Consider the following 20,003-nt stretch of genomic DNA (forward strand, 5'->3'; position numbering starts at 1 on the left):
TATGAGGAGTCTATGAATCTTTAGTGCTAGAAAAAATTGTGGAGGTAAAAAATATTAAGCTTTCCATAATGATGTTGTCCAAAGTTCCTTTAGCTGTAACTATGGACACCATATGTGCAGTTAGACATGATAAAAACCAATTTTAAGTTGTAAATCTTGAACAGTATATAACAAAGCTTTTCCACAGTAAAAAGAACAAAAAAAATGCTTGCTGCTTATTTGTGCACCACTGAAAATTCTTATTTATTCACTTTAATTCTGCATTTACACAAAAATGCTGTAATAAAATATCTGTACACTACTTCTGTTACAAATATAGATATTTAAAGTGACTTTATATATTCTAATGTAGGAGTTTCACGCTCTAAAATGGGAATGAACACATGATAATTCCTCACCAGTTGTCTCAATAAACAGCTCCATCTGTTTCCCTTAGTCTTAAACTATTGTATTATAAGATGTTAATATAAGTCAATGAAATGAAGTTATGTTAATCCCCTTAATTTTTCTATCAATTTACTAATGGCATACAACCAAAATAATTAGTAACACATTGTTCTCTGTCATTAAGATTAATATGAATTGAAAACCAATTGCACAGCACACTAACACATTTTTAATGTTGCATCGGTTGTTAAAACCAGCACTAAAGATTCTGGAACCCTTCTATGTTCCTCTATGGTTAGCAGCATAGTTGCTTTCTAGAAAAACCATAGTCAACATGGGGTGGCATCATCATTTACTTATAGCAACATGAAAATATTTTACAAAAGGTCAAAAATAAGAATGAAAATTGAAATGTGCATTAAATATAATTTCTTTATAAAATTTAGGGACATTGCTTCATGTATTTGCCATTTACTCAATTGTAGAAACCAATTTTAGCAGGAAAAATATATATGCATATTAGAGGTGGGGAGATGCAATGTTTTTATAATACTGTTGAAAATTTTAAAATACTGACAGTATTTTTAAAGATTTTCATTAGAAAACCTTTTTTTCTTTTTTTAGTTTGGGGTGGGGAGAGGAGGTAGATTGCCAAATTGAGGCATTTTTTTTAAACTCCCCGAGATTTTCTTCTTTATTTTATATTTTCATTTTTCATCCTAATTTACTGAAGCCATTTTCTTTGGTTAGCTTTAGAATTATCTTTCTTTATACTAACCAGCTTAGCATGTAATAATTCTTGCCCATGTGACTACAAAACATTAGATATCTCCACAAATAAAAACGAGATTCACCTACACAAATATTCCTTCTCTTTAAGTTCACAAAATGCAAGAAGAAAAGAAAAATGATGTTAGGTTGTCAGTAAGGAAAGCATTTCTAGATGAGAAAAAGAAACTTAAGTGTTATTTCCCCCCTACAGTTTTGAAGACCCGGCTGAACACAGCATAAAAATTGTCAGGACCAGTGCATTCTCTTTACAGTAGGAGGTGAGCTAGGGGTTGGGTTGGTTCAATTCTGGCAGCCAATTCAAGAGAGAACCATCAAAGTGACAGTGCCTTTTGTCCGTTTAAGGATGGCAACAGCTTCTTCATGGGTGACTCCTTCTAGACTCTGCCCATTGACAGCAATGATCTGATCGCCCCTTTTCAGACGTCCGTCTTCAGAGGCTGCTCCCTGCAAATTATAAAGTAGACTTGTTTATTTCTCAAAAAATGCTGCCTTGCAACTCACAACAGAAAAAGATCTCAACAGGAATGTAAATTGCTCTGCTTGTACACACACACTGCTCCCAGTGCTCCATGGGTGCTCTAAGCCATTAAGCAATGATGAACATAGACAAAGAAGGTCTTTCTCCTAAATGGTTTTAGCATTGAGATACCAATTTGAGAGAGAATTTAGCAGTCGATAGATCAGTTGGATGGGTTTTTGGCTGTTCAGCACAGCAGTTGGTGGGAACACAAATTAATAAAGAATATTTGGGAATTTGCCTAGTAGGAATGATTCAATAGAATCCAGGATTTTCTATCCTGTAAATAAGACCTACAGAAAGAAGGTAAAGGATTAGGTAGGAACAAAAACAGTTTTACAGGACAAGGGCTTGGGGGATGACAAAATCCAAAGGTCTGCAAAAGCACAAAGCCACCTGAACATTCCCTATGGCAGGATAAGGCATAAGTTCTAAATTTAAAACCCACTGCTATTTCTTTTTGTGGTTTTGAAAAAGCTATTCAAGCTGTCTTAGTTCTTACTTCCCAAGGGTAGAGAGATTCTTCATATTCCTTATGGACCCTAAATGATTAAGATTAAATACAGACATTGGTGTTAGAAAAAGAACCCCATCTTAAAGCACGCTTATAGAAGACAATTATGCAATTAAATATAAAATTAAAAATATGGAAAAGTTAATGAGGAATCCATAATGATGAAATTCTTAAAATATGTTCTAACTAGCATGCCTTAAATAAATTGTTCCTAGGCTGAGGAAAAGGACTGTATGACTCTTCTATTCACTAGCAAATGCTGTTTGTATTTTTGGACATACCGATAGCTTTTTTAAAAATCTTATAAATTAAGCCTATAGCTAGCTTGTTGTAGGTACAACACTTTAAATTGGCTAAAAAAAAGATCTTTTCCAAAATAATAAAATAAAATATCCATAAAGAACTATACCACTAATCCAAAGGCCCTGTATCAAATTTTTAAACACGTTTGACTAAGTTTTGTTTCTTTTGACACTGTAAAATTTTGAGATTCTAAATTTTTCCCTGCAGAAAATCTTGTCGAATTTTGTAGCCCCTGAAAAACGACTTAACATATTAACAATAATTACATGGGTTTAAATTATTTTAATAGCTTTACCAGTACTGCAATATCTTTATTCTTATTCTAAACCTTCTTAAGCTAGAATAGGTATTATATAATTATAACTATACAGTCTTTTTAATTGAATCCCTTGATTGCAAATCGCTGACTTATTATAGATGATAGGGCTGCTGGATACTCCCTACATTTTTTCAGTAGTTATTTTTGTTTTATTCAATGAAATTAAATTTATAAAATAAATGCTTATTAATTTTCATGTGTACTTTATGTACTTCTCTATAACTATTTTATATTTCACAACAAAAAAATGCAAACAGAAATACCAGTGCTCTACAGCATACTTATTTAAAATGTCCCATTTTCAAAAGACGATCATGTGCAATTTGTGTTCAAAGAAAAAAAAATAGGCTTTACTAACCAAAGTTCATTAATATTTTTATGTATATTGTTGAGTTTCCATGGAGTTTCAATTTGAGCCTATTTTCCTTTAAATATAATGAAACCTCAAATTGGACAAAAATATTTAATGACCTGTTCCTGTAGGGAGTTTTGAAAAGAAATGATCAACTGTTAACCATTTGGCATTACCTCAGGCCATAAACTAATAAGCCAGCTGCTGACCACTATTAATGAATGTTTAGGGGAAAAGAGGGTGGTTAAAATTTGCAAGCTTACCTTTGCAAACACTGTTTTAACATAAATGGGTAAGTCTCCATGAGGGCTGCCATATCCTCCAACTATACTGAAGCCTAAGCCATCTGGTCCTCGCTCTAGTGTAATAGACTTACATTGAGGAGGTCTACGGTGAAGGAAAGGAAAAAGAGGTTTTAAATTAAAAAAAAAAAACTATACATATATGTTATGAATTATCTGACATCCACCTAGAGCTAGCATAATTCTCTTTGTTACTGACAAGGAGTATATTACGGGTATTTTTGAGATGCTTAAATTGTCAGTGCATGCTGTGCTTGGTATTTTAAATTTACATAATCTAATGAAATCCTACTTAACACCCTAATTCTATTACTCATTTACAGTTCCCTTAAACTAACATATTCATGGCATGTTCTCATTGTACAGAGAAGCTCATTCTTTTTCCAGTTTATTTAAAGTGAGAGGGCTAAAGTTCAGGGGACTATATTAGAATAAGTCATAAACATCAGTACGCCCAAGCTCAGAGAGAAAAATCAATTATAAGCAATGGAAAAGCTGCATCAAATTATTTAAAATTTCTAATGCGCCTCTCTCTTCTCCTCTGTTTTCCAATGCTTTTGTATCCAAGTATTGTTACTTAATACTGTGAATTTTTTCAGTCCAAATGATAATATATTAGATGAATAGGCAGTGCGGGAAATTTTAAAATGATAGATTTGACTTGCTCCATATTACATGAAGTGGTAACATCAAGACTAAAATGTCCTCCGCCCCAAAATCAGAGCTGAAACCATGGGAAGGGTAGTAGCACGCATATCTATCTAGCTAGTTATCTATCTCTACTTATCTTTGATCAGCTAAATCCATGCCACAATTATTTAAGTTTAGAAGCACCTGATATGTATAATTCACACTTCATATATCCTATCATTTTACCTGTACGTAATTCCTAGAAACATGGGACAGAGAACGCAACTGTCAGGAAGACTTGATTCATAAGTGAAAAATGATACACTAATCATCATGTATGAACTCACCCTAAATCATCCTGAAATATACTGCTTGACGTCAGCCCAGTGAAAGAAAGACTGGAACTTGCAGGCTCCTGCTGATGACCTGTGACCACACTCACGTCTCCTCCAGCAACCACCTGCGCACAGGAGGAGGATAAACAGAAAAAACACATGTTCCTGTGGCTAGGGAAAGTAATTTTTCTTCAGAAAGAGCACTTGGATTAAAATGTATATTTTATTGTTCATTTAAACATTTCTGTTAACATAAAATACAACCAAAGAGAATGAAATTTCACAAGGTCCAGAGGCTCTTAACTGTCCTGACAGTAAACATATTCTTCTAATTCTATTCTACAAAGTTCTTTGATGTTTTTAAAATGTGGTCTCATATGTAATTACTTTTTAAAGATCTTTAGAATATAAGCCACTTGCTAGCACCACTTAAAATTCCAGCAAATAATCATGTACTGCTAAGGCCTGGATTTTTTTCCCCTTAAAGTATAAAACAATCAATGCATCAGAGTAAAATGTTACAAAATATGTCTCATATGCACTTTATTGGAACTCTTAATTTAATCATTTATGTTCAAGAGAAATATTAAATAAAATAATAGCAGAAGATTTAATCATTTTTACTGCTTTAACATCAAAGCTCATGTGTCTTCAGGCTACCTATATTCTGAATTATGCTTGGGATAAAAATCTTACCTGCATTTCAATGGAGCCAGATGCATTTTTCAGTAGGTTAACTGCTTGGGTGTGAGTCATGCCCTCAGTGGATGTGCCACAGATGGTGACAATCCTATCCCCAACCTGCAAGGGAGAGAAAGAAACAGCCATCTGCTAAAGCAGCCATGGAGAGTGGGTCTTTGAGACCTAAGTATTCATTTCCTTCTCCACCTTCCACATGACATATATACTGCTACCAGCCACTGAAATATAACCAAGGAAACCACTAATTCCAAGAAGTCCAAAAAGCAGCAACCACAAAAAGAAGCAGTGCATAATGGTTGAGTTCCATATCCAGGGGAGAGGGAGGGAGAAGGAGAAAGTCACTCTTCCCTGCTCTTCATTTCTCTTGGGTGAGACATTACTTCCTATTAAAAGAAAAAAAAATTCACTATCATTTGGAAACTGAAATTTCTCTGGACATTACTATTATAATCATTAGATGTGACTCTAAGTCGGAGGTTGGCAAACTAAGGCCCAGAGGCCAAATTTGGCCCACTGCCTGTTTTGGTTAATAAAGTCTGGTTGGAAGACAGCCATGCTTATTTGGCTGCTTTCACAGCGCAGAGTTGAGTAGTTGCAACAGAGACTCACAGGTCCCACAAAGCCTAAAATATTCAGTATCTGTCCTTCCAGAAGTTTACTGACCCTGTGCTATGTATACAATCAGGTTTTAAGTGTCAGCCATAAATTTGGATATCAAACGAGGCTGAACCATTCCCAGCCTAAAGACTATTTAAACTAAAATGTGGTTATGTTCTGAGACCTATTTGAGGTATGAAACCATAGAGATTTTGCTTTAGAGAGACTGAGTTGCGTTAATGGAATATTCATGTAATTTTTAGAGCTGGGCAGTTGGCATAAATTCCATTGCAATGCTCCACAATTTGGATAATCCCTCAGCTTTGAGGCAAGTTGCATATAGTTTTATAACATTGTAAGTCATATTTATATTAAACTTCTGCAAAATTATCAGTGAATGCAAATAAGTAATACTTTTCAATTTAACAGAGTTAAATCGGCGTTTAAACCAATCAAATATATAAGATAAAAATTTCACTTCATACTGGTGTTCTGAAAATACTTTCTGTTCTCTTTTAGCTTGTTCCACAGAATTTCAACATATAAAAATATGTATTAGGAAACAACTATAAATCTTCCTATTTAACTGCAAATCTGCATTTTCTCCTTTCTTTTAATATTCTTTATCTTTTATTCCAAGCAAGCCTTGCTGTGGTTGGATTAGATGATTTAAAAGTAAATATAGATATTTAAAACTGCCTTGCAACAGGTAGCCAGGTTCAAAGGTTTATAAAAACACTTCTGCACATTTTGCTAGGGCTTCTAGGGTTGATAGTACGACTCACTCTGAGTTTTTGGGTCTGTGCTGCAACTCCAGTTGGGTGCATCATTGCAATAAATATAGGCACATCACCAAGTGGGCTGCCTACTCCTCCAGCGATGCTGATTCCCAGTGAGTCAGTAGGGCCCTGCCATGGAACAGATATAAAATTTTGGTCAAAGTGATATTTTTCATTGACCTTTTGTTTATTCTTTGGCATGATATCTATAGTCAACTCTGATTTTCTAAGTGTGAGGGGGAAAATGAAGAAGTGCAAGAAAACTGCATTACTTTACTTGACACAGGTGCTTAGCGTGGCTTAGGAAAATAAGCATCTGTTCAGGAAGTAAAATAAATCAAGACATGCTAAATGAAAATCATGTTGTGGAACTGATGAAAAGCAGGTAAACTCATGAAGTGAAAAGACCACACTTTTGGAATCAGAGTCCTGTGTTCAAAGCCACGAAGTCATACTTGCAAATGCTGGAACTTGGAATAAGTCCACTCCACTCAATAAATCATTAGATCTTCATTTACAAAATGGAGACAACAGTGCCTCTCACAGAGGGCTGCAGTGAATATTAAATGACATGATGATGACATGAAGTGTCTATAAGAGTGCTCAGAACAATAGTAAAAGCTCAATAAATCACAGCTGCTTTTACTTTGTCTCTTGTGCATGGCTGTCAAGGGAATCTGTTTCAGAACTAATAAGTATCTGTTGAAGAGAAAGGTTTACTTATAAGAAGTGAGAGGCATGGTATTATTTTGTGTGGGGTCAATTTTATGCTATTTTCAGCAAAACAGAGCATGCAAACAACGATTTTTCAAATGAGGTGCTGTGATCAGGAAATTCATTAAGGACTACATTATGTTATTTCACATGTAATATGTAAGAATACATACTTTTTGAGATGAATACTTTAAAACCGTAAGAAAGTTAACAAGAAAACACATATGAAGATGTCTCTTAAAACGCCAGGGTTTATATTGTTTTCTCTCCCCAAGTTACCTTTTTCATTTCGACTGTTCTTAATCCCTGTATTTCAGATGCCACTGTAAAGGCAAAAAAGATAAAATAGGGTTATTTTATGTTCATTCACTTTTTATGTTCGTTAAAATATCTAAAGCTGGATGGGACTAAATGATAACCTAGGTTTCTTTTTTTAAGGGGGTGCTCAAAGCTGCTAGTACACATGATTAGATCTGTCTTACACAGAACTATTTATTTTTCCAGTTGGAAAAACGTGTATACCATCCCATTCTTCCTTCTCATTTTAAGTGTTGATTATATAACTATGTAATCCACTTTGAATGAGTCAAGGGCAGAATGTGTTTTGCATAGAAAGGCACATGTGCACGGCTGAGAGGAATAAAGTCATGGATGCATTAAAAAAATTCACAAATTTAAGTGCCTAAATTTCTAGAATATTAGTCATACTGCAAACAGAGATTGCCATATTGTTAGTTTCTTCAATTTGAACAACTCTCAACCAATGCACCAAGCCAAAAATCCCTCTGCAGCATGATTTCACGTAATTAAAACACAGGAGGATCACATTAATTTTCTCAAATTTTTGCAATCTTCATGGAAAAAGAAGGCTTCACTTAATGGCATCTTCTGATTTACTGGTGTTACATTAAACACAGAAAAGGAATAAAATCAAAAACACCAATCTGCTTAGTAAGAAAAAAAAATTACAGAATCCTGATTATAATGTTTAGTGTATCTTGTAGGGTAAACATCAAATGGGAAAAGCTGCCATAGGCAGAACTTCATGTTGTTCAGACTTTTTGCTAACACGTGTTTTTGTACCTATATTTGGATATGGGATGATTTGGGGGAAAAGAAAGCTCAGAGGTAAACAAGACAAAAAAATCAGTGTTGACAGCCAAATTCAAACCATGTTTAAAATACTGAACCAATCTTACATGCATTCTTCTTTGAGCTACTTTCCAGTGACTCAGATGTACTGGATCCAGAGAGTGGAAAAGTGAAAGATGACAGGCTGCCTTCACTCACCTACAAATATACAACAATTATTTCAGAAGGTTTTGCAAGTAACATACTCCCTAAATACCACTTATTTCAGAATTTAATCTAGAGACAGATACCTGTTAAGCAACAGTGGCATTTGATAATTTGATGAGCAATTTAAACACAGTTCCTACTGATTTTTTTTCTTTTAAACAGAGAATGTGTCTAGTGACATAAATAAATTGAAGCTAAAAGGGTAGATGAAATTGATTCCAATCTACCTAAAATTTTAGTGGATAGTCATAATCTCATTCAAACTAATCTTCTTTAAATTTAAACTGATGTTGTAGGAAGACTAGGACTTAAACAAAAACTGTAGAATTAGGGCCAGCTAATAGGAAACTCATGGTAGTAATTTAGAAAGTTAGTATGGGGTCTTTAAGGACAGACTGATGAAAATGGGTTTCCATCATCAGTAGACAACACTGAGGAGAAGGTCAAGAGGTCTTGTCAAGAGTCTTGAAATATTTAACATCATATTTTTATACATGGTGCTGAGTATCTATAGTTCACTTATATGGGACTTTTCAGTTGAATATTGATTGATGTTGCTATAAAATATTTTTAAAATATGTTATCTTGGGGCCAGGTACGGTGGCTCATGCCTGTAATCCCAACACTTTGGGAGGCTGAGGCGGGTGGATCACGAGGTCAGGCGTTTGAGACCAGCCTGGCTGACATGGCGAAACCCCATCTCTAATAAAAATACAAAAATTAGCCAGGCATGGTGGTGCACGCCTGTAGTCCCAGCTACTCGGGAAGTAGAGACAGAAGAATCTACTTCGCCCGGGAGGCGAAGGTTGCAGTGAGCTGAGATTGTGCCACTGCACTCCAGCCTGGGTGACAGAGCGAGACTCTGTCTCAAAATAAATAAATAAATAAATAAAATAAATAAAATAATAAAAAATTTGTTATCTTGGTAGGCTTTACAATTAGGTAGTTACCTTTTGAGATTATGGAAAATGAATCATGTCAAAAAAGAATGCTTGAAATCAATTTCCTTAGAATGACTTACAAACTACTCAACAGCCACACCTTGTTTACCTGGCTATTCTGATTCCTTGTTCTTCTCTGTCTCAAACTCTGCACCTCAGTCACTATCCCACGCTGCCAGGGGACCAGACCTTGTACACAGACCCACAGTCAGGGCCATCTATGTGTCCTCTTGGCATGCCGATTGCATCGCCCTGATGAACTCCACAGCTACCCACCTGGCTGCTTTGAGATGGCCTCCTCTCTGAATGGAATGGACCAGCTTTGATTCTTCCAACTTCCAAGGTTACTGTGCCTAGGGAACACTGGGGGTGGGCATGGGGGGTGTTTTATGGAAATGTTTAAATAAAATGCTATAATCATCTTTAGGAATACATTTTACTCTTCAAGACTTTTTTGAAAGGCATCTTCCTTTTGGAATTTCTATAAGCAAGGATACCTCCAATCCCTTGTGGAAAATGGCTTTTTATAAAACATTCAAACTAATAAAAATAATCAGCAGCAGCAACACCAAGTGTTTACCTTATCACCTCATGATTTCTATGGAGACTACTTGTACCAAAAAGAAATGGAGAATTGAGCAATTATCTCATGAAACACACTAATTTTGATAGGACAAACAAGCTGAATAACTGAGGGTTTAAAAAACAAAGCGACTGTAATCCCACCACTTTGGGAGGCCGAGGCGGGTGGATCACGAGGTCAGGAGATCAAGACCATCCTGGCTAACATGGTGAAACCCTGTCTCTACTAAAAATACAAAAAAATAGCTGGGCGTGGTGGCAGGCGCCTGTAGTCCCAGCTACTCAGGAGGCTGAGGCAGAAGAATGGCGTGAACCTGGGAGGCGGAGCTTGCAGTGAGCCAAGATCATGCCACTGCACTCCACCTGGGTGACAGAGCGAGACTTGAGACTCCACCTCAAAAAAAAAAAAAAAAAAAAAAAGCGAACACAATAAAACCACCACTACCACCACCTCAGCAACTTGTTTTGCCCTCAGTGGAAGAGGTACTTAGATAATTGGGTAAATTCTCTATCACTACACTGTGCCTGAATAGACTTATGATATAAAATTTAGATAAATACTGCTATCAACACAAAACATGAACTGAAGACAATCTTTCTTGCACCCCTTTACAAATAAACCATAGGCATGCAAGAAATGCCGCACAGTCTAATATGAAGTAGCACAAGAAGGTGTTTGAGATCCTGTTTTGGAGTCACTGGATTAAATCCAGACTATGTGATTTATTAGCTGTGTGACTGTAATGGATGTTTAACCTTAATAAATCTTTTACTCTGAATTTTAAAAATGTACATCATTATAGGTTGTTGAGATAAATAAACCATGAACAATGCTTATGACAGTGTCTAGAATGGAGTAAGATTAATATAAATATTGGGCACTGATATTATTATTCAGTGATGAGAGTACAAAGGGATGTGTTATTCTGAAGATGTTGATCATGAATCATACTCTGAAAGGTCAAAACTTGACTTGTAATATCCATAAGTTGGTTTTTTTATTTGTTTGGTTTGGGGTTTCTTACCAAACTCTTCTTGAAACTATTTATATTTTCAGTTTACATAACTGTAAGGTTAACAAGTCCATACGTTATTCACTGTGTAATGTTGCGACCCTTTCACCTACCTGTAACACTTCTCTTTCAAATATCAAGGGTTTTGATTATTTAAAAAAGTGTTAATTTTTCCAATACAAAAGTGATTTACGCCCAGTAAAAAGAAAATTTTGGAAATAAAATGAAAAAAGATGGGGGAAGAAAAGGACCCATAAGTCCAACAATTACCTCATAATTATTGTTTAAAAAACTTATAAGATTGTATTTTACATAGTTGCATCTATGCGGTAAATACAATCCTCTGTCTTATATTCCCCACTAATTACAGTAGTCCCCCTTTATTATAGGGGGGAATATGTTCTAAGACCCCCCGCCAGTGGATGCCTGACACTATGGATAGTGCTGAACTCTATATATACTATGTTTTTTCCTATATATAAGGTTTAATTTATAAACATAAAATAAGGTTTAATTTATAAATTAGACATAAGAGGATAATAAAATAGAACAATTATAACAATGTGCTGTAATAAAAGTTATATGAATGTGATCTCTCTCTCCTTCTAAAAATACCTTATTTTACTATACTCTGGGCAACTGAAACCACAGGAAGAGAAACTGCAGATTAGGAGCGACTACTGTATATATTTTATCATGTTAAAATAGTTGTCATGACACTTTGGGAGGCCGAGATGGGTGGATCACGAAGTCAGGAGATTGAGACCATCCTGGGTAACACAGTGAAACCCTGCCTCTACCAAAAATACAAAAAATTAGCTGGGCGTGGTGGCAGGCGCCTGTAGTCCCAGCTACTCAGGAGGCTGAGGCAGGAGAATGGCGTGAACCCGGGAGGCGGAGCTTGCAGTGAGCCGAGATCACACCACTGCACTCCAGCCTGGGCAACAGAGCGGGACTCCGTCTCAAAAAAAAAAAAAAGGTGTCATGAACATCCTTTCAAACAAATACATGTTTGCCATGCATCCTTGCTATTTATACCAAAGTTTATATAGTTTTTGTCAACCACATTGCTTCCAATTTTCCCACTATTACAAATAACACTTCAATGAACTCTATGTGCATGAGGAACTTTACGTGCATGAAGTTGTGTATAGAGGATTATTTACATAAGAGTTTTAAATGAACAATTACTAATAAAACAAAAATAAGCAGCCCCAACAACAAACATGTAAGTTATACAAATATTTATGGTGTTCATTATATACTTTCAGATTAGCTTTTTTTTTTTTTTTTTTGAGATGGAGTTTCACTCTTATTGCCCAGGTTGGACTGCAATGATGCGATCTCGGCTTACTGCAACCTCTGCCTCCCGGGTTCAGGCGATTCTCCTGCCTCAGCCTCCTGAGTAGCTGGGATTACAGGCATGCGCTACCACACCTGGCTAATTTTGTATTTTTAGTAGAGACGGGGTTTCTCCAGGTTGGTCAAGCTGGTCTCGAACTCCCGACGTCAGGTGATCCACCCGCCTCAGCCTCCCAAAGTGTTGGGATTACAGGCATGAGCCACCACACCTGGTGAGACTAGATTTTTAAATGACTGGTTTAAAAATTATTTACATTGTTTTATGGATGCTTCCATTTTTTCTTTCTTTAGGATATATAATTCTTACAGAGATAACAATTGTTTTTAATGTGTCTCCAAAAAGAATGTATTCCTCCTTAAAGAATTCTAATTACATTATGTTTTAAAGATTGAGAAACCTAATGAGAAGTGACGAATGTTAACTTTGCTTTAATAACCAAATTTATAAACACATTCATATGCCAGATCTTATATAAACCTGAGAGGTGAGTAACAAGCACCTACTTGAAAATCCCTCCAGGAAGCCCAGCCACTCAGAGGCTCCCCTTAGCGTATTAGACCTCCAACAGCTCTACTGCTGCTGAGCACTGTCATGCAGGCTTATGTTAATTGCTACCCTTGACATGGGTACTGATGATGACAGTTTTCTAGTCAATGTTGAATTATATTTCTTCAGGTCATAAAACACACTAGGTTAAAAAAACAAAACAAGGAGATAAGCATTGCCTATTTACAGGAATGCAAATCCCCTCTAGAAACTGGAATATTCCCTGACAGAGAATATGCCTAGAGTCCCAGGAATTATATTGTCAAATGACTTTTCTGTGCTTTACAATTAATTCATTTTTAAAATGAAACTGGTTCTGCCTTTCCAATCAGAAAATGATCCTTCATGGTGAGTTTGCTTTGGAGGAAACCAATTTTATGATGTAAAATGTACTTGAGTTTAGAATGATATCTAGGGATGGAGGCCTTATAATTACGATAATCCCCAGTGAAGGTACTGCTGAGTGAATCTGCATTAAATTACCTTCGTTGCATAAGGATGACAGATCTGCTTCTGATTTTAAATGTCAACTTCAAATAGTTCAACAGTTTTGAGTCAGAATAGTATTTTGATCAAACTTTCCCTTCTATGGAACATAAATGATAAAATCTTTTCATTTTAAAAGATTTGAGATGACTTTTTATTTATTTTTTTGAGACAGGGTTTCTGTCACCTAAGCTGGAATTCAGTGGTGTGACCCCAGACTCATGCGATCCTCCCACCTCAGCCTTCTGAGTAGCTGGGACTATAGGCACGCACAACCATGCCCAACTAATTTTTATATTTTTTTGTAGAGATGGGATTTTGCCATGTTGCCAAGGCTGGTCTCGAACCCCTAGTCTCAAGTGATCCACCTGCCATGGCCTCCCAAAATGCTGGGATTATAGGCGTGAGCCATTGCACCTGGCCTTGAGGTGACACTTTAAATAAAGAGAAGTCATTACTAATTTGACTATGATAGCCCAATGTTAAAATTATCTTTTTTCTTCTACGCTATTACACAGAATTATTTTTTGCATTTTTTACCTTTAGCAAAGCGGCAACCGCTTCTTGGGTGGCATTACGAACGTCTTCCCCATTCACCATTAATATCTGGTCTCCCTGCATCAGTCTTCCATCGGCATCTGCAATTCCTCCTTTGACAATGTCTGACACAAATACTCCAGTATCGTTTCTACACACAATTTTGAATTTCAACATTATCTTTTGCTCAACTGTAATGCAATGCTTATTTAATAAAAAGTTACGTTTTTACCCAAAATTTTTACTTGTTTTTATGACTTTAAAAGTTTTGTTATTTGGAGCAACACTGGGGCAACATTAGAATTATATTTTTTGATAAATAACAGCTTATGTCTTACAGTGCTTCATAGATTAAAATGATCTCCAATAAGCATATTTATTCTTCATCATTTATATACACTGAGTAGAAGCGTGTATTACCATTCTCATTTTATGGGTCACTCGGCTACTAAGTGGCAAAAGTAAGACTTAAGAGTCAGTCCTTGGATGCAAAATCTGCTGTTCTTTCCAAATCAGAATGGAGCTTTGAATAATATTAACTTGTGGTTACATAAATGTTGCTATCACCATCATTAATATTACTGAAAATCATAACAGATGTGTATCTCAAACTAAACACCATTTATTAACTCAAAATCTAAGTACCATTGCTGTGATGTCTTTTATTTGAAATCATTACACATCTTCCACACGAGATAGGTTTATGCAAAATAAACACAAATCTTATTCCCATCCTTTCTTTCACAAAACTATAAAAAAAAAACCCAAAACTTCTAAAGATACGAAGATAACCATAAATAGAAATATATAGTAAAAGCTGAACTGTATCACTTGTTCTTGCCAAGGTCATGACATCAAATCATTTCACCATTTGATCCTCCGCTTTCCCATCTTTAGAAACAGGGTATTGGATTAGACGGTCTTTGTATGGTCTTCCCAAGGCACAGAGTTTAGGGTTCATTAATGGTGGTTTTTATGATGACCTGGTGACCCCACATCCTATAGTAGCCATGTTACCCATGTCATATTTCATGAGAACTAGACTACTGATACTGTATTCCAAAAAAAGTCTATTTTTTAGACATATTCCCACTGACACTCAAATAATATGCTAAATTCTTTCTGTGTTTAAAAATAATTAGCCTTTAGCTGTCTCTGAGAAACAAAATGGTGTAAATGTCCTTTTATTTCCATACAGAAAAGTCGCTGCAGAACCAGGTGTCTATGCTGCTGGTTTGGCAATTCTGAAGAATGCCTATTTCCAAAGAAGGATATTCTGAAATAAAGATCACCATTTCACAGATTTCTGACTCACTGGAAAAAATAAGCTGCTTTGAAATGGTGGCTATCTGAGGCCCAAGAAATGACAAAATAAACTTAGAGACACTGCAGACTGCAGGGGCACTTTTTACTGAATGCTGACTTCACAAGTTTAGCTATCTGGTAGATTCTGAGATCAGATCCAGATGGGCTTATAATACTAAAAGGAAGAAAGATTTATGAAACTTGCTGGATTATTTGTTAATATCACTTATAAATGAGTTTGTTAATATTACTTACATGTAAATACTTTTAAAATGTACTCATATACAAATGAATTAGGTTGTGAATTTTTGCGCATTCACTATTCCATTACCACCCGGGCCCCCTGCTTTAGGCCCTGTTGATGGCACGCTCTTATTCGCTCTGATCCTTCTCCCTACAATATCTTCCACTCTCCTTTAATAAACCAATACTCACTTATCACTTTTAGCCTCAGCTCAGACACCTTTTTTCTTGGAAATTTTCCCTAATTCACTTTAATTAAATAGGGTCACTTGGTCCCTTTCTCCTTTGCTACCATGGGTCCCCCACAAAGCATCTTTGTCACTCATCAATAGATTCCTTTGTTGCAAGAATATATTTAATTCGACGTTCACCAGACGATGAGTTTTTGGAGTTCAGGAACCATGTCTTATTTAACTTTGTTTCTGAAAACTTAACGTATTTCCTAGCACATAGCAGGTGCTCAAAAATACACCAAATGACTTTTTGTTAAGTGCCTTCAAAACCTTCCAATATTCTGATTTTAAAAGTCCAAAACCAATGTCTTTTTATGGTTCCTTAGTGAGGGGGCTAACAACAGCTACCTACTGAACACTAGCCACTGATAAAAGATTCACCTACTGCTATTACTCTTTAAAATGATTTAAGTCCCATCATTTCCAAGGGAGCATTGGGTTTGTCCTCCTCAATCACACCTTTTACCAACAATACTTAATCCTAGGCCTTTTCCCGGCTTCTTCTGCAGCTCAATAGTGAGGGTGTCACACACTTCCTCCTCTTTGTATGGGGCCTCATCTCTGTAGAGTGTCAGGCGCACTCTCTGTGGCGTCTGTCTCAGGACATTGATTGCTTCATCATGTGTGGCCTTTCTCAAGTCAATTCCATTCACCTGTACAGAAATGGGACACTGACTGTAAGGAACATGAGAAGTAAAGGAGAGTTAGGTGGGGAAGGGAAGAGAGAGAAAGAAGCAAAGAAAGAAACACTCCCCCCAGGAGCCTTTTCTCTGTTAATTTTGAAGGTCAAAAACAGGCATTCTATACCTCTAAGATCTGATCTCCAGCCCAGAGTCTTCCATCTTTACATGCTGCTCCTTCTTCATAAACTTCATGGATAATAATGGCACCCTAAGGGCCCAAACAAAACATACCCATACTTATCCCATTCTCCTAGGAATGGTGAGCAGAAATGGAGTCCAAACACATTATACTTTGATAGACAGCAATAAGGGTTATAAACTCTGGCTCTACAGTACAAGCTCCATATAATTCAAGGGAAAGTGTAACAACAATTTTTGCTAAAAGGCTCAAAGGAGCTTATACTTTTTTCCTAATGATAGAGAAGATTAAAGAAAAAAACTATAAAATAAAACATGCATACATAGATGAGAGATAACTTTCTTATCCATAAATGAAATCACTTTTAAGGTATTTTTGACATCTAGAAGACTTTGTCTACAAAGTATCAATTTTTCAAACTCTTTTTTTTTTTTTTTGAGACGTAGTCTCACTCTGTCACCCAGGCTGGAGTGCAGTGGTGCGATCTCAGCTCACTGCAACCTCTGCCTCCCACGTTCAAGAGATTCTCCTGCCTCAACCTCCCAAGTAGCTGGGATTACAGACGCTACCATGCCTAGCTAGTTTTTGTATTTTTAGTAGAGATAGGGTTTTGCCATGTTGAACAGGCTGATCTCAAACTCCTGGCCTCAAGTGATCCACCTGCCTCAGCCTCCTAAAGTGCTGGGATTACAGGCATGAGCCACTGCACCTGGCTCAAACTCCTCTTAAAATGGGTTTAACCCAACCTGGATATCAGCAAAAAGGAAATTAAAATGTAGCAAGGACTGGTGAACTGATAGAAACACTTTGAAATTTCAAGATCAAAATCACCAGTGTAGCAGAATATTGCTGAGTCAATATTTATTGGCTTACTCAAAGGAAACCTCCCCCGTATCCAATTGAATATTTGCCCTATAAATTAAAATAACAAATACAGGTTTTTTCGGCCTTCACATTTCCTTTACTAGAACTGATAGAAATCTCCCCATAATCGTCTCTGAGGCCTGGCTGAAGGACGGCCTGTACAGAAGCACCTCTGGGTGGTGCTCACCAGCAGCGTGTCTGAACCCCCAACGATGCTCAGGCCCAGCCCTGTTCGCCCTTTGGAAATCTCGATGGTTGTTTCGCAGCCAGGGATAATGGGGCAGGTTGCAGGATCAGAAGCAAAAATTGCTGGTGTTGATGATCTGCTTGTATCTAAAAATAAGTTAAAAATGAAATACAAATAAAAATTGGTTACTAAGGCATATCCATCAAACTCATCACACAGATTGACTCTGAGGGATGGGGCAGAGAAATGGGCCCATGACTGTGGGAAAAGAGACTTTGTATTTACCTCAATCTTTTAATTATCTTATATTTAAAAATAAAACAAATGTGATTAAATCACCATTGTTAATTTAGGGTAGTGGGCCAAAAATTACCTATTTAATTATTTTCTATGCTATCCTACATGTTTTAAATTGGTAGAGATATAAAGGAGAGGATATGAAGAAGAGAGAACAGAATTAAATTGAACCTCAAGTTTCACTTTGATATTCTCCATTTCAATGGAGGCAAACACATTTCTTATGAATTAAAAGATTTATAGAACTCATAACTGAGATATGTGGCAAAGACCTAGAAGTACATTCAGGGAATACCACAAAACATATCAATAATTTTGGTTCTGATGCCTGCTTTTCGGGGCTTTTTACATTTTTGTTTTCTTCTTATCCTAGAGCATCTCTTCTTATGTAATCAATTCTGAGCAAAAATGCACCATTTGCAGTTTTCTCCTTGGGTCTCACTTGATGTTTTATACATTCAGATGTCAAATCCTGGTGCATATATGTTCAGAAATGAATAGATAAGAATAGATTATGAGAAAAGGGGAATATAATTTCACACATTATTTTATCAGAGTCTTCATATCATATGTTTTACGATACAACAAAGAGCATACAGCAAATAGCATGTTTTGGGAAAGCTAGGACACTTGGTATAGTAGCGTATGCTTTAGACAAGATGTTCTCTTTTTAGGAAATCAGAAACAGACTATTTTCTTGCTCCTTAAATGGTAAGAACAGGTGTAAGATATTTTCTTTTATGTTAAGTTTTCATCTAGCATTTCATATTTTTATAGACAACACTATTTAGGGATCAACATAAAATTGAAAAATGAGAAAATTTCCATAAAATCTTTTAACACTTCAGTGAATTATCCAGTCTTTCTAAATAAAGGATTATTTTCGGAGATGTATTACTTTAAGACTTTTTCATCCAACTACATTACAAATGATTTAAACTAGTGTTTCCTTAAAAAACTGTTAAAAGAACAGTTTGGAGGCCAAAAGAAATTTCTCCCCTCCACCCCCCGTTACAGAAAAAGCCAATGCCTTATTTTTTTTTGTTTGTTTTGATGCTGCAGAGCTTGAAACTGTTTTATTACACACCAGTGTATTCTTTCTCAAAAAGTAACTCAAAGGAATAATGTACCTCCATATACTAGACTGGAAGTGTAATGACACATTAAAGTGTCACCCTATGGTTCACGTAACCTAAATCCATTTCCATTATGACAGGACCCACTATTACACCTAAAGCATAGAACTCAGATCTGTAGATCATGGCAATGACTAAAGAGTTTCTTACAGTGGCAGGCAGTACTGATCCCACCTATGAAATAGGATAATTGCATATCCATTCTACAGAAAAGAAAGCTGAGGCTTAGAGAAGTTAAATTACTTTCCCAGCTTAAAAAAAGAATCTACGAAATGATATTTCTAATTCATTAGTTAGAGGCCTGGAATCAAGGTGCCCTTAGCAATATATTTTTGGAGAGCAAAGAATACTATTCCCTTGTTTTAGAGATGAAGAAGCTGAGGCTTTGAGTGGGTAGGTTTCCTAAGATGCCACAGCTGCTTAATGTACAGCACATAGATTGCCTGCCTAACAGTCCAGTACTCTTTTTCCAGAAGTCCTCTCTTTATATCCTGCCCTCACCATAGGGCTCCCTGACTACAACCTTCCAAACAGTGAGCCACAGGTAGGCAGCTGGCTCCCAAGCAGAAACCCTCTGCTGAGTTCAGGTGTTCCATATGTGCAGGACTCTCATGAGTCCAGAGGCCTTACTTCGGATGGACTCCGGTTCTGGGGAGCCAGACTGTGGGACCATCAGAGACTGGGAGCTGTTCTTTTTTTCTCCACTGGCTGCACCAGCTGCTGAAGGAACAGCCTGGGAATCTGGATTCTCAGCATGGATGGTAAGTTTTACTGTCATCTTTGCTGTCTTCAGAAGGCTAATAAACTGGCAGGGTGTATGTGTGGAAGAGAAACAAAATTCAAAGCTGAATTAGTAGACATACCAATGAGTCACCATTATCAATGGAATCTAATTCTCTCTATGGT

The 20,003-nt window shown here is 36.4% G+C and overlaps 1 protein-coding gene across 57 annotated transcripts in view; it reads right to left on the minus strand.

Moving 5' to 3' along the window:
- The window catches only part of MPDZ (multiple PDZ domain crumbs cell polarity complex component), a 173,986-nt gene continuing 154,201 nt past the window's right edge, over nucleotides 219-20,003 (minus strand). For 46 of the 57 annotated variants that reach the window (NM_001375420.1, NM_001375416.1, NM_001330637.2 and 43 more), the window contains 13 exons: nucleotides 19,728-19,902; nucleotides 17,665-17,810; nucleotides 16,599-16,682; nucleotides 16,251-16,444; nucleotides 14,014-14,161; nucleotides 9,760-9,846; nucleotides 8,443-8,533; nucleotides 7,523-7,566; nucleotides 6,536-6,658; nucleotides 5,148-5,252; nucleotides 4,464-4,576; nucleotides 3,448-3,571; nucleotides 219-1,623 (listed from right to left, as the gene is read on the minus strand). In NM_001375420.1, coding sequence (NP_001362349.1) covers nucleotides 1,477-1,623; nucleotides 3,448-3,571; nucleotides 4,464-4,576; nucleotides 5,148-5,252; nucleotides 6,536-6,658; nucleotides 7,523-7,566; nucleotides 8,443-8,533; nucleotides 9,760-9,846; nucleotides 14,014-14,161; nucleotides 16,251-16,444; nucleotides 16,599-16,682; nucleotides 17,665-17,810; nucleotides 19,728-19,902 — 1,581 coding nt within the window. In that variant the 3' untranslated portion in view covers nucleotides 219-1,476. The remainder of the gene's footprint in view (nucleotides 1,624-3,447; nucleotides 3,572-4,463; nucleotides 4,577-5,147; nucleotides 5,253-6,535; nucleotides 6,659-7,522; nucleotides 7,567-8,442; nucleotides 8,534-9,759; nucleotides 9,847-14,013; nucleotides 14,162-16,250; nucleotides 16,445-16,598; nucleotides 16,683-17,664; nucleotides 17,811-19,727; nucleotides 19,903-20,003) is intronic. The other 11 variants (NM_001375425.1, NM_001375419.1, XM_006716888.4 and 8 more) reach the window with 3 other exon arrangements.

The sequence above is a fragment of the Homo sapiens genome, chromosome 9 (assembly GCF_000001405.40).
Source record: "Homo sapiens chromosome 9, GRCh38.p14 Primary Assembly".
NCBI lineage: Eukaryota > Metazoa > Chordata > Mammalia > Primates > Hominidae > Homo > Homo sapiens.